Source organism: Homo sapiens, chromosome 2 (assembly GCF_000001405.40).
Source record: "Homo sapiens chromosome 2, GRCh38.p14 Primary Assembly".
NCBI lineage: Eukaryota > Metazoa > Chordata > Mammalia > Primates > Hominidae > Homo > Homo sapiens.
In genome coordinates, this window is record NC_000002.12 from 23,831,987 (window position 1) to 23,847,168 (window position 15,182).

Genomic DNA, 15,182 nt, shown 5'->3' on the forward strand with positions numbered 1-15,182 from the left:
GAACTAACACACTCCAATTAAGCTTTTGCACCCACTACTAACTGAAACTGTTCTCATCAGATTCACTGACGACCTACATCATGATAAATACAATGACGAATTTTCTGTGCTTAGCTGAATGGACTTAGCAACACGTGACATGGTTAATCACACCCTCCTCATTGATACATTTTCTTCACTTGGCTACCAGAACACCCCACTGTCTTTAGTTTTCCTCTTACCTTACTGACTGCTCTGTAAGAGAGAAGACTTGGTAATCTCATCTAGTCTCGGGACCTTAAAAACTATTTAAGGGAAAAAGGTAAACAGCCAGCATAGGCCTTTCCACAGACCCAGGCTTGAGAAGAATGACTTAGATTTCAGTCTCACAAAACTGTTTCCTCGAAATGTTAGAAAGGGAAAGTTAATGTGGAAAACGATGTTCAAGATCCATGCTGTGCAATATAGTAAGCCATGAGCCACATAATGCCATTTTATTTAAATTTTAAATTAACTAAGACTAAATAAAATTTAAAATGCAGTTCTTTAGTTACACTAGCCACATTTTAAGTGCTCAATAGCCACATACGGCTAGTGTCTACCAAAATGCACGCTGCTCGAAGAACAATGCCAAAATAGAACGTTTCCATCATCACAGAAAATTCTATTAGACAGTGCTGTTCTAAACCTTGTTTACTGTTAAACCCTTGATTTGTGTGAACTGAACCTGGACTGTAAGGGCTGTGATTGGCATATAGACTCTGAGGCCTACTTAGCTAAGATAGTACAGAAGACAAATGGGAAATCAAGGAAATGGCTTTCCTGTGCTGTGTCTCAGAACTAAGCACATTTCCCAATGTACTGAAGAGTATAAAAGCTGTGCTTGGACTGTTGTTAGATGTCCCAAACAAAAAAGCTGATGCTTCCCCATGTGGAAGTAGACTGTACCTACTTCAGCCCTATCTACTACAAATAAACACACCAATATGCACTGATACATTCCTGAAGGCTGCACTTGGGCAATGAAAATAATGCTGTATATGCTATGTTTCCTGTCCTGACAAAGCTAAATAACCTGGTGCCAATTTAAAGCCTGTAAATTGAATTGTCAATCCAAATCTGAGTCAACTACTGGTGACTGTGGAGACTGATGTCAAACTGAGGTATGAACTGCTCTACACAGGGAAGCCATTGCCTTTGTTTCTCTATGGTCTTCCATACAGTCCGAATCACTTAAGACTTTCACAACTAGGTATGTAAACCAGGCATTTCACATAGAGGTCCAAAAACAAAGCTATACATATTCACATACAGTACCTCCTTTGCATGTATCTCTTCCTCTCAAATTTGAGTTTCTAATGAAAAGCCAGTCAGATTATACTAGTCAAACCAAGAATAATATTAAAAGTTTGAAGTTGAATTGGGAAAAAAAAATTTGTATATCATATAACATTTACAGAATCAATGATAAACATTACCCTGTATTATTAGTACATTCTTTTAAAAAAACTTTATACCATAATGAATAAAGTTTGTTGCTTTTAATTAAATATAGCAATTTCTATGAAAATTCAGGTACTGAGTCCTTATTCATAAACCCACTAATACTCTATAAAAACATTATTTTATGAGAATAAAGTTACTTTGGCTAACTAGGGACACAGAAACTGCCATACAGGACAATTACTACAATCTGGAGAACTAAAGCACAAGTAAGCATCTACAGTGATCTATCAAGAGCTTTCCTCTTGCTGCCTAAAAATCACAAACTTTCTTATAATTGTTAATAGAAAAAAACTGTTCCATAATTACATAGGTTTTTAAAGCATTAGCTAAGATATCCTTAAGCAGAAAATCTGAACAATGAAAATTCATAAAATATCACCCTCAGAACATATGCCTTATAGTAGAATTACATATAAATGTTAACATATTGAAAACAAAAACTCTTACCTTTTGATCAGGCAGGTTGAAGAGGAATTCTCTGTCAAAACGACCAGGTCTCCTGAGTGCAGGATCTATAGAGTCAAGTCTGTTTGTAGCACCAATAACAACAATTTCACCCCTATTATCTAATCCATCCATAAGAGCAAGGAGGGTTGATACTATAGAGCTGTAAAATAATTTTCAGGCAAAATTAAAAGAATTGTAAACACTGCTGCTTACAATAACGTTTATCAGTCTTTCTTTTTTTTTTTTTTTTTTTTTTTTTTTGAGATGGAGTGTCATTCCGTTGCCCAGGCTGGAGGGCAGTGGTGCAATCTCGGCTCACTGCAATCTCCGCCTCCCGGGTTCAAGCAATTCTCCTGCCTCAGCCTCCCAAGTAGCTGGGACTACAGGCGCACGCCACCACGCCCAGCTAATTTTTGTATTTTTAGTAGAGATGGGGTTTCGCTATATTGGTCAGGCTGGTCTCGAACTCCTGACCTCAGGCAATCCACCTGCCTCGGCCTCGCAAAGTGCTGGGATTACGGACGTGAGCCATGGTACCCGGCTTATCAGTCTTTAATGCTAACAAAATAACTGTAGCATGATTATATTTTAATGCAGGATCAAGTGATTTACAAAAATTATTTTCAAAGGCATTCAGAAAATATAGTAGACACCTAAACCTTGGCAACCAAAAAAAAAATGGACTTCATCAAAATTAAAAACTTTTCTTCTTCAAAGGATACTATCAGGAAAGTAAAAATATAACCTAAGAATATTTGTAAATCATATATTTGATAATATATATAATGAACATTACAACTGAACAACTAAACAATACAAAGACAAATAATAAAATTTAAAAGTAGGCAAAAGGGCCAGGCGCGGTGGTGCATGCCTATAATCCCAGCACTTTGGGAGGCTGAGGTGGGCAGATTGCTTGAACCCAGGAGTTTGAGATTAGCCTGGGGAACACAGTGAGACCCCATCTCCAAAAACGAAAAATATTTTTAAAAAATTAGGCAAAAAATTTGTATAGACATTTCTCCAAAGACGATACACAAAACCACATCAATAGTCATTAAGCATAAGCAAATTAAACCAAATGAGATGCCACTTCCAAACCACCAGGATGACTATAATCAGACAGATAATTAACAGCTTTTGATGAGGATGTAGAGAAGCTGGAACACTCATACACTGACTGATGGGTGGGAATGTAAAATGATGTTCCTCTTTGGAAAAAGAGTATTGCAGTTCCTCTGTTAAACGTAAGAGTTGCCAAATGATCCAGCAATGTCCACAAAAAAACTTTTACACTAATGTTCACAGCAACACTTTTCATAATAGCCAAAAAAGTGGAAGAAACCCAAAAGTCCATCAACTGATAAATAGAATAAATGTGGTATATCCATACAATGGAACAGTATTCCTCAATAAAAATAAACGAAGTACCAACAGCTACAACAACATGGATGAATCTTGTAATCACTTTGCTAAGGAAGCTAGACACAAAAGGCCACATATTATATGATTCCATTTATACAAGATATCCCAAACAGGCAAATCTATAGAAAAAGAAAGTATATTAGAAGTTGCCTAGAGCTTGGAAGGATGAGGGGAAGGTTGGGAGTTATGGCTAAAGGGTTTAAGGTTTCTGGGGTGATGAAAATGTTCTAACATTGACTGTAGTGATGGTTACACAACTTTGTAAATATACTGAAAGTCACTGAACTATGCAGTTTAAATAAGTGAACTGAGCTGGGCACAGTGGCTCACACCTGTAATTCCAGCACTTTGGGAGGCTGAGGTGGGTGGATCGTCTGAGGTCAGGAATTCGAGACCAGCCTGGCCAACATGGTGAAACCTCATCTCTACTAAAAATACAAAAATTAGCTCGGTGCGGTGGCACGCACCTGTAATCCCAGCTACTTGGAAGGCTGAGGCAGGAGAATCACTTGAATCCAGGAGGTGGAGGTTGCAGTGAGCTGAAGTCGCACCATTGTACTCCAGACTGGGTGACAAGAGCGAAACTCCATCTCAAAAAAAAAAAAAATGAGTGAACTGTACAGCTCTTATTATGGGGTCCTTGTCAGGGTCGCTTTTCTGGCTGGAAACCTCTGTGGCTGGTAGTGCCTCTGCCTCAGTTTTGCTTAGACCTGCTGGGCTCATTCCACCCACTCGACCTGACTGCGCTCGGCTCACACTACCAGCCTGTATCCCATGCCTGCCAGGGGCAAGCCAGGCATGGGGCAGCAAGGGGTGTTTGAGAGAGCAAGTGTGAGGTCCAGCCACTGCACACAGTCTGGCATGCCGGCTGCTGCACCGGGGCGGGCAGCTCCAGGTGTTGGCACAGGTGCTGGCTCTCTGTGAGGCTGTGGCTGGACCAGGCACACTGCAAGCAGCTTCCACGGCTGCCACTGGGGAACGTGGTGGTGCCTGGAAGCTTGGAGACTCCAGGAACTGCAGGGCTCCAAAGTCACAGCCCTGGCTCAGGGAGCTCCCAGGTCTGGGCTCCCTGAAGGGCTGCAGCTCTTCTCTCCTCTTCACCCACAAAATGGCAAGCAAGGGGCATGTTTCAGCCCTGTTTGTATTATAGCTCTTTCAGCCCTGCCATCTGACAGGTCCCGAGTTCTTGTCCTGAGTCCAGGAAGAACAAGATATGCAGACAAGTGGAGGGTGAGCAAGGCGAAGAAGAGCTTTATTGAGTGACAGAATAGCTCAGAGGAGATCCTGGAGTGGGCAGCTCCTCTCTACAGGCAGGTCGTCATGTTGAGTGTTGTTCAGCTCTCAGCAGAGAGGAGGTCCTGGAGTGGGTAGCTCCTCTCTGCAGCTGGTCATCCTGACATCTGCAGCTCTCAGCAGAGAGGTGGCCCTGGAGGGGGTAGCTCCTCTCTGAAGTTGGTCCTCCTGATGTCCACTTAGCTCTGGCTGAGCCGGGGCTTTTATGGGACTCGGGGGAAGGAAGTGCACACCAATTGGTCCATGGGGTGGCCATGGGCAGGCCCAGAAAAAGCACCACAAGTTCCCACTCCAGTCTGTGGGACTGGCAGCCTGGCCAACCTTCAGGCCCTCCCTAGCCTGAAGGTGGGTCTCACCACGGACCCACCCCCTTCTGCCCAGGAGCTTTGTCTGCCTCCTGCTGCCATTCATGGTGCCCAAGCTGTTCGTGCCAAGGGGCACCTGCAGGCCAGTGCCAAGCTGCCCTCAGCCACACCCTCAGCTTCCCACCCAAGCTCATCGGCACCCAAAGTCTGGAGGGGGCTGTGGCAGCAGGGGGTTGGCATGTAGCACTAACCCCAAGAGTGCGCACAACCAGCCAGGCTGCAACAACACCCAGGCTTGGCCCCAATCTTGCTCCAAGATCGGAGCAGGCGCAGGAGTGGGGAGAGGCCAGGCAGTGGAAGCAGACACCTCTGATCCTGCAGGGACAGGGGAAGCCTTCCCAGGCCCCCCAGAGTGCAGGAATGCCAGGCTCCACAGCCATGACTTGGGCAGCTGTAGCTGCACCTGGGAGGGCTGGACCCCTGTCTGCACCCAGGCCCCCGCAAGAGCACAGGGAGGCCCAGGTCCACAGCCACAACTTGGGCGGCTGCAGCTGCACCCAGGGAGCTCCCATCCCACCGACTCAAAAGGGGTGGGATTCCCACTTGTCCCCAGTTTCCAAAAGCTCCGTGGAATGTGCAGCCCCGGCTACACCTCCCCAATACAGCAGGCATGATGATGGTGGCCACTCCAGATGGCCTGCCGCTGCCATCACTGTGAACTGTATCTCAATAAAGCTGTTTTTCTTAAAAAGAAAAAATACAGTAGTTTGTTTTTAATAGATAGCAATCTAGGGGGTTTTTAAATGTCTGGAAATGTATATGACGCTTTAGTTTCTATTATATTAGATTTACATTATCGTTACACCTTTGGACAATTTCTTTAGAATGGCTACCACTTTATGTTCAACTCAAAATTATTTTCTGCATATTTTAGAGTAGTTTTTAAAAAGTATGACTTAAACATTTCTGAATATAAGTGTTTCATGCCTAATTATAACAGAAACTGTAGTTCTAGTAACAATGTTCTTTCTAGTGTTTTCCAACTGCTCTCATTTCTATTCCTTTACTCTTATTGCTAACACCTGCCTAAAATAACTTCTCCAATATGTTCAACATGTTAAAGAAATCATTCTCCTTCCCAAACACACTGCTCTAGCTGTGTTTCCAAAATCTATAAGCGGAATCAAAATGCTAGATACCCAGTGTATGTGTGAAGGAAGGATGTGTGATTCTTCTTTTCAAAATGAATAACTGAAAATTAGTGACCTAGGTTTCTCATTCAAGATATAAAGGGGGTGGGGAATATAAGTAGCCTCAAATATAAATTCATATTTAACCTCCAATCTTTCCTTGGTATCTTCCAATTACAGATTGTCATTTCAAGTGTTTGTTGGAATTTATCTGCATTTTTAAGTGTCTTGTAACTGAAAAGTCTTCAGACGATAAAGTCTCAGACATGGCCAGAAACAGAATTACAATCTAACTTAAATTATACCAAAAGTTGTCTTTAAAAAAAAAAAATCTGAATGGCCAACCCTTGGATCAAAATCCTTTAGCAACTCCTATTATGTAGGGAAATTAAAAGTCCAAACTATTTGACACAATATTCAAGGCCTACTTGCTTGTCTCAAATTCTGTCTCCTACATTACCTTCTAAAAGTGTTGTTTCACCTTTCAAATATAGATCTAAAATCCAATGAAATGAATTGTTTTGTATGATGTGTAGAGGAATCCAGGTTTTTTTTCCCACCAAAGAGATATCCAATTTTCCCAGCATTATTTATAGAAAAGGTCATCTTTTCTGCACTGCCTCTTTTACCATAAATTAGGCATCCATATGTGTGTGCATTTATTTATGGCTCTGGGCTCCGTTCCATTCATCTATTTGTCTAGTCTTCTGCCAATATCAAATTTTCTTAACCCTAAGAGGCCTTAATAACTAGTAGAGCAAGTGCTCCCACCTTATAGAAGAAAAGATAATTGAAAAATATTTCTTTCCATTTATTTAATCTTTAATGTTTGCCAGTCAAGTTTTAATATTTTCTGCATAAATGTAACATGAGACTTCTTAGACTTACTCATAGAAACTTTTTGCTAATGAGATTGCAAACAGTAACTTTTCATTTTTACACAATTACTAGCAACAAAAATACAAAATTTATGTTTATATTGATTGGTCTAACCTTCTTAGCATCTATCTACAGGTTGCTTTGCAATTCCTACATACATAATTGCATCATCTACAAATGATAAGAGTACTGTTTTTTCCTCTTCAATATGCATATCTTGTATAGCTTTGTCTTGCCAGACTACACTGACTGCGATCTATAGAACAGTATTGGTCAGAAGTGTTCATAGCAAAACAAACATGCTTGTCATATTCCCCATATTATAAGAAAAGATTTCATGTTTGAACATTAAGTCTGTTTGTTGTAAGTTTTTCTGCAGCTACCTTTAAGGAAATACTTTATATTCCTTGTTCTCTAAGATGAAGACTTTATTATGACTAAATATTGAATTTTATTAAACATTTCTTCCACATCTATTGAGGTGATCATCTTGATTTTTCTCTAATATGAAAATGTGATAAATTAACATTAACTGACTTCCCTCATATTAAATAAACCTTGTATATTTGAAATAAAATCAATTTAGTCATAATATATTATCCTTTTTATATCTTCCTGATGTAAAGCTCTACCAATCTGTTTAGGATTTTTATATACATGTTCACAAGTGAGACTAGTTTCCAATGAATTTTCTCATACCAAGTTTTATGAAGGTATAATTGACATACAAAACCCTGCACATATTTAAAGTATACATTTTGGTAAGTTTTGAAGTATGTATACCCTGTGAAACCATCACCACAACTAAAATAAGTTAACATATCCATTATGTTCTTCCTCATACTCCTTAGTTCTCCACCCATACTGACCCTCCTTGGCCTCTTTTACTCAACCCCTAGGGAACCATTCATCTGTATTCTGTCACTACAGATTACTTTGCATTACTTAAAATTTTATATACATGGGATCATACAGTAAGTACTCTTTTTATTCCTAGATTCTTGCATTTGGCATATTGTGAGATTCATCCATGTTACTGGTTTGATAATAGTTTATTCTTTTTAATTGCTAAGTAATATTCCATTATATAGATATGCCACAATTTGTTTATCCATTCACATGTTGATGGCCACCTGGATTGTTTTCAGTTCTGGGGTATTACAAAAAACCTGCTATAAACATTGACATACAAGTCATAGAGATTTTCCCCTATGTTTTTTCTAAAAGTTCTCCTTTCACCTCTTAAGCTTAGGCCTTTATGCTCTTAACCTTTGATGTCTAAAAAAACCAAAACATTACATTTTGCATTCCTAATACTGCTTATCTGTCTTCTTCTTATCATGACCAAGCATGCCAGAGGCTCGTCAGTTTTTTCAAAGAACCAACTTTATTAGTTTTTTTCAAAGAACCAACTTTTGGCCTTCTTGATTTCTACTATATCTTTGTTTTCCGTTCACATATTGTTGGCTACGATTTTTGTCTTTACAACACAGGTCATTTAGACTTTAGAGCTATAGTTCTTAATTATGAACATAAAATTATCTGCTTTTTGTTATTTTTCTGTTTTGTATATTACCAAACTTTAGAAAATTAGTTAAAATGTGCTTTAAGGCACATTATATGATCAATTTTCATAAATATGGTATATGTTTGAAAACAGTGTCCATTCTATATTTGTCTTAGATAAGTATGCCCATTAGATCAGATTCCTGAAATGTGGTGGTTCCAATTAATCTATAGAGCATTAAATGATTTTTTTGCTCAGCCTGATCTATCAATTACTGAGAGATGTACAGGATCTCTCCCACAATGATGATCAATTTGACTCTTCTACCTTGTAGTTCTGTCAGTTTTTGTTTTACATAGTTTGAACTATGGTTATTAGGGAATTGCAGATTTTAAATTGTTACTTTTAAGACAGGGTCTCACTCTGTCATCCAGAATGGAGTACAGTGGCACGATCATGGTTCACTGCAGCCTCGACCACCCAGGCTCAAGCAATCCTCCTACTTCAGCCTCCTGAGTAGGCAGGGCTACTGATAGTGATAGGACAGTGACAGGACAGGCATGCACTATCATGCATGGCTATTTTTTTTTTTTTTTTTTTTTGTACAGATGGGTTCTCATTATGTTGCCCAGGCTGGTCTTGAATTCCTGGGCTTAAATGATCCTCCTACCCTTAGCCTCCCAGAGTGCTGGGATTACAGGCATGAGCCACCATGTGCAGCCTAATTGTTATATCTTCTAGTAAACTGAACCTTTTATCATTATAAGATTTCCTTTTTACATGCACAGTAATGCTTTCTGACTTATGGTTTATTTTGTCTAAAATTAATGTAGCAATACCAACTGTTAGTATTTACGTGATATAATTTTACACTATTTAACTATTGTCGACATTTCATATAAACAGAATCATACAATAAGTGGCCTTTTGTGTCTGGCTTATTCCACATAGCATAATGTCTTCAAGATTCATCCATGGTGTGGCATGTGTCAGAATTTTTTTCTTTTCTTTGTGGAGGGATGGGGTCTCACTCTGTTGCCCAGGCTGGAGTACGGTAGTATTATCACAACACACTACTGCCTTGACCTCCTAGGCTCAAGCAATCCTCCCATCTCAGCCTCCCGAGTAGGTGGGACCAGATACACAGGCCACGACACTCAGCTAATTTTTTTATTATTTGTAGACACAGCATCTAGTTATGTTGCCCAGGCTGATCTCAAACTCCTAGGCTCAAGCAATTCTCCCACCTTGGCCTCCCAAACTGCTGGAATTACAAGCGTGAGCCACTACACTCATCCAGAAATTCATTCCTTTTTAAGGCTGAATAATATTTCATTGTATGGATATATCACATTTCATTTACCTATTCATCAGTTGATGGACATTTGGGTTATTTCTACTTTTGGGCTAGTGTGAATAATGCTGCTATGAATATTTGTTTTTGTGCTATTTTTTTCCACTATTTTACTTTGAACCTTTTTGTATCCTTACATGTAGATGTCTCACTTATAAACAACACATCATTATATTTTGTTTTTGCCAATCTGACAATCTTTGTCTTTTAACAAGAACATTTACTCCCCTTATATTTCAGGTCATTATTGATATATTTGGGTTTAAATCTATAATCATATTTTGTGCTATTTTCCCCATCGGTTATATGATTTCCCTCACTTCTCTTCTTGATTGCTTTTGGATTGACTTTTAAAAATTATTCTATTTTCCCCCACTAATAATTTAGGGATTATACATTACGTTTCTATTTTACTAATGATTACTCTAGAAATTCAAACCTGCATACTGGATAACCAAGAGGTCTACTTGCAGGTTATAATAAAGACCCAATCAGAGCACCCCTCAAAAAACAACTACAAAGCCTATGCATTATAATACATGAATATATACCTGACATTTCTGGTGAGTAAACAGAGACAGATGGGTTCTGGTGGGAGTTCATGGTAACTCAGAGAATGGAAACACGGTGGGAGTTCATGGTCACTTGGAGAAGAAAAAGTAAGTTTCCTTCTCTCTAGCTTTTAGTCTGGGACTAACTGCAGTGAGGGGGAGAGAGAATATGCAACAGGGGTTGGGAGGGTGCCTTATTAACTTTTCAGCATAAGAGTCTAGAAAAGAGAAGGTAGGAAGTTATTAATATTAAAGAATAAGGGGGACCACAAAAGGGCAAGAGCTAGTAAGGACACCCCAAACTCAGTCTACCCAGATCTCTAGCTGGTCCTGAACAAAGCAAGGAGCAGACTCAAAGGATCTAGCTAAAGACAAAAGGTTTGAAAGGAGATCAAAGCTCCCAGTTAAGAAACTGAATGCATTTCAAGCCTAACTCAGAAAATTGTCTCCTAAGAAAAAGGAAATGTGGCTCATAAAATAAAAATAACAGAATCCAGAGTCTCCAAAAACTAACAATAATAATATCCAGGACACAATCCAAAACTGCCCAACAAATTAAGAACCAATAAAAAGAACACATTCTCAAGAGAAAAGAAAACCAAGTGGGTCTAACATGAGATAAACCAAATGTTGAAGCTAACATAACAGAATTTTAAAGCAACTATTGTAACGAAGCTCAATTAAATAAAATAAAACATGCTTAAATGCATGAAAATCACATTGGAAAAACAGAAACAATGAAAAACAATCAAATGTAAGTCCTAGGACTGAAAAATACAATTTCTGAAATAAAAAAATGTGTTGGATGAACATAACCAAATGGACATGACAAAGCAAAAATAAGTGAAGACTGACTAAAGACAGACAAAAATTATCCAAGGTGAAAACAGAAAAAGACTGAAAAATGACAAATTTGTAGACACAAAATCAGAATAAACACAAAGAAAGCCACACAGAGGCATGTCATGGCTAAACTGTTGAAAGTAAAAGATACAGAGCAAGATACTGAAAGCAGCAAGAGAAAACCCAAATATTACAAAATGTGGGAACAACAATCTAATTAATGGCTCTCCAATTACGGGCTGTGATACAGGCAGATGGAATCCTGGCAGAGGCCAGCTAACTCACTAAGCGGAAGAGTCGGAGTTGAGATTCCAGGGAGACCAAGACGACTAGAGTCTACAGGAAAAAGTACCACAGAGGAGACTGCTCCACAGAAAGCAAACTCAGGAAATGTACACAAAACTCCTCAGCTCTTCATTTAAACACCAATCACTGCATACATGTGATGAAACTACCCAAGGCTTGGGGAAAAAAACACTCAGAAGAACTAGAAATAAGAGTACTCTACACTCACAGAGAGCCAGGAATAGTGCCAGTTCCCACCCACCGAACTGGTAAACCTCATGATTCAAAGGTCATTGCCCATAAATACATAAAAGGATACTGCATCAGTAGCAGGGAATAATTAGTCCTACACTCAGGGCTACTCAAGATCCGTATCACAAATCTTTGTTTTTGTTTTTGTTTTTTTGAGACAGAGTCTCACTCTGTCACCCAGGCTGGAGTGCAGTGGCGTCATCTCAGCTCACCGCAACCTCCACTTCCCAGGTTCAAGTGATTCTCTTGCTTCAGCCTCCCAAGTAGCTGGGATTACAGGCACCCGCCACCATGCCCAGCTAATTTTTTGTATTTTTAGTAGAGGCAAGGTTTCACCATGTTGGCCAGGCTGGTCTCAAACTCCTGACCTCAGGTGATACACACGCCTCGGCCTCCCAAAGTGCTGGGATTACTGGCATGAGCCACTGCGCCCAGCCGACAAATCTTAAAAGCAAGATTCCAAAGAATCAAACTGTTTTCAAGTTGATTAACTGTGTCTCAAAAGGAAAAAAAAAAACACACAACAAAACCACTTCAAGAATATCTACTTACAGTAACATAGCTAGCACTCAACAAGGTAAAAGTTACATCTGGCATCCAATAAATACTGCAAAGCATGCAATGAAACAGGAAAACACAATCCGTAATGAGAAAAATCAATAAAATAAAACTAACCCAGAAATACAATATTAGAATTGCCAAAGGCATTAAAGTAGGCATTATAACTATATTCCAGATATTGAAAAGTTCTATATGTATATGTATAGATGAAAACAAAAACATGAGGCAAAAACATAATGAATAGGATTAATAGCAGATTAGACATTTCAAAAGAAAAGATTAGTGAACTAAAACTCACAGCAACAGAAACTAACCAAAATGAAACACAGAAAAGATAATTTAAAGCAAAATTAACAAAGTTTCGGCAAACTATGGGACAACATCAAGAAACTTAACATATGTGTAATTAGAGTCCCAAAAGGAAAGAGGAGACAGGAGGTGGGGACGACAGAAAAAATAATGAAGAAATAGTGGCCAAAAATTTTACAAGTTTGATGAAAAACACACCCAAGAAGCTCAATTCAAGAATGAGAAAAGGGGAGAAAACTCCACCAAGATATATCATTAAATTGCACAAAACCAGTCAAGAAGGAAAAAAAAACCTAAATGTACCCAGAAAAAAGATACATTACATACAAAGAAACAAAAATAGAAATAAAAGCATAATTCATTACTGAAGCAATACAAATGAGAAGAAGAAAGACCAACATCTTTAAAGCACGGAAAGAAAAAGAAAAAAGTGTCGACTTCAAATTTTATACCCAGAGAAAATACCCTTCAAAAACAAAGGCTAAGTTCTCAAAAAGTTAAACATAAAACTACCATCCTGCCTAGCAGTTTCACTCCTTATCTCTACCCAAGAGCGATAAAAAATATATGTTCTACACAAACATTTGCATTGAACGTTCACAGTAATATTCATAATAGCCCAAACTGGAAACAACCTAAATGTCCGTCCAGTGTGTTGTATAGCCATACAATAAGAATACTGTTCAGCAATAAAAAAGAACAAAATACTGACCCATATTATATCATGGATGTTCCTCAAAACCATTATACTTAGCAAAAAAAAGCCAGACACAAGAAACCACATAGTATATGATTTTAATAATACAAAATGTCTAGAAAAGGCCAATCTATACAGAGATTAGATTAGTGGTTGGCTGTGGGCAGGAAAAGGAATTTACTGTAAATGGGCATGCTGGAATTTTTTTTTTTTTTTTTTTTTTTTTTTGAGACAGTGTCTCACTCTCTCACCCAGGCTAGAGTGCAGTGGCACAATCAAAACACACTGCAGCCTCGACCTCCTGGGCTCAAGCAATCCTCCCACCTCAACCTCCCGAGTAGCTGAGACCACAGGCATGCACCACTACACCCAGCTAATTTTTGTAGTTTTTGTAGAGACTGGGTTTCACTATGTTGGCCAGGCTGGTCTCAAATTCCTGGGCTCAAGCGATCTGCCTGCCTCAGCCTCTCAAAGTGCTGGAATTACAAGCAAGAGTAACTGCACCCCACCTCATGCTGGATCTTATTAGGGGTAGAAAGATGTTCTAAAATTGATTTATATCAATAGTTGTACCACTTTGTTGAGGTACTCTAAAAATTACTAAACTATACACTTAAAATGAGCAAATTTTATGACATATAAATATACCTCAATAAAGCTGTTTTGGCCAGACACAGGAGGGTGAGGCGGGCATATCACTTGAGCCCAGGAGCTTGAGACTAGCCTGGGCAACATGGTGAAACCTTATCACTACTAAAAATTCAAAAAGTGGCTGGGCGCTTTGGCTCATGCCTGTAATCCCAGCACTTTGGGAGGCCGAGGCAGGCGGATCACAAGGTCAGGAGTTCGAGACCAGCCTGACCAATATGGTGAAACCCTGTCTCTGAGACCACAGGCATGCACCACTACACCCAGCTTATTTTTGTAGTTTTTGTAGAGACTGGGTTTCACTATGTTGGCCAGGCTGGTCTCAAATTCCTGGGCTCAAGCGATCTGCCTGCCTCAGCCTCTCAAAGTGCTGGAATTACAAGCAAGAGTAACTGCACCCCACCTCATGCTGGATCTTATTAGGGGTAGAAAGATGTTCTAAAATTGATTTATATCAATAGTTGTACCACTTTGTTGAGGTACTCTAAAAATTACTAAACTATACACTTAAAATGAGCAAATTTTATGACATATAAATATACCTCAATAAAGCTGTTTTGGCCAGACACAGGAGGGTGAGGCGGGCATATCACTTGAGCCCAGGAGCTTGAGACTAGCCTGGGCAACATGGTGAAACCTTATCACTACTAAAAATTCAAAAAGTGGCTGGGCGCTTTGGCTCATGCCTGTAATCCCAGCACTTTGGGAGGCCGAGGCAGGCGGATCACAAGGTCAGGAGTTCGAGACCAGCCTGACCAATATGGTGAAACCCTGTCTCTGAGACCACAGGCATGCACCACTACACCCAGCTTATTTTTGTAGTTTTTGTAGAGACTGGGTTTCACTATGTTGGCCAGGCTGGTCTCAAATTCCTGGGCTCAAGCGATCTGCCTGCCTCAGCCTCTCAAAGTGCTGGAATTACAAGCAAGAGTAACTGCACCCCACCTCATGCTGGATCTTATTAGGGGTAGAAAGATGTTCTAAAATTGATTTATATCAATAGTTGTACCACTTTGTTGAGGTACTCTAAAAATTACTAAACTATACACTTAAAATGAGCAAATTTTATGACATATAAATATACCTCAATAAAGCTGTTTTGGCCAGACACAGGAGGGTGAGGCGGGCATATCACTTGAGCCCAGGAGCTT

At 39.4% G+C, this 15,182-nt stretch overlaps 1 protein-coding gene across 29 annotated transcripts in view; it reads right to left on the bottom strand.

Annotated features, from left to right (window-relative positions):
- ATAD2B (ATPase family AAA domain containing 2B) overlaps positions 1–15,182 on the bottom strand; it is a 249,155-nt gene that overhangs the window by 154,018 nt on the left and 79,955 nt on the right. For all 29 annotated transcript variants that reach the window (XR_001738780.3, NR_125717.2, XR_001738782.3 and 26 more), the window contains one exon: positions 1,933–2,092. Coding sequence is in view for 26 of the 29 variants with exons in the window: in XM_047444799.1 (XP_047300755.1) it covers positions 1,933–2,092 (160 nt within the window). In the remaining 3 variants the exon portion in view is untranslated. The remainder of the gene's footprint in view (positions 1–1,932; positions 2,093–15,182) is intronic.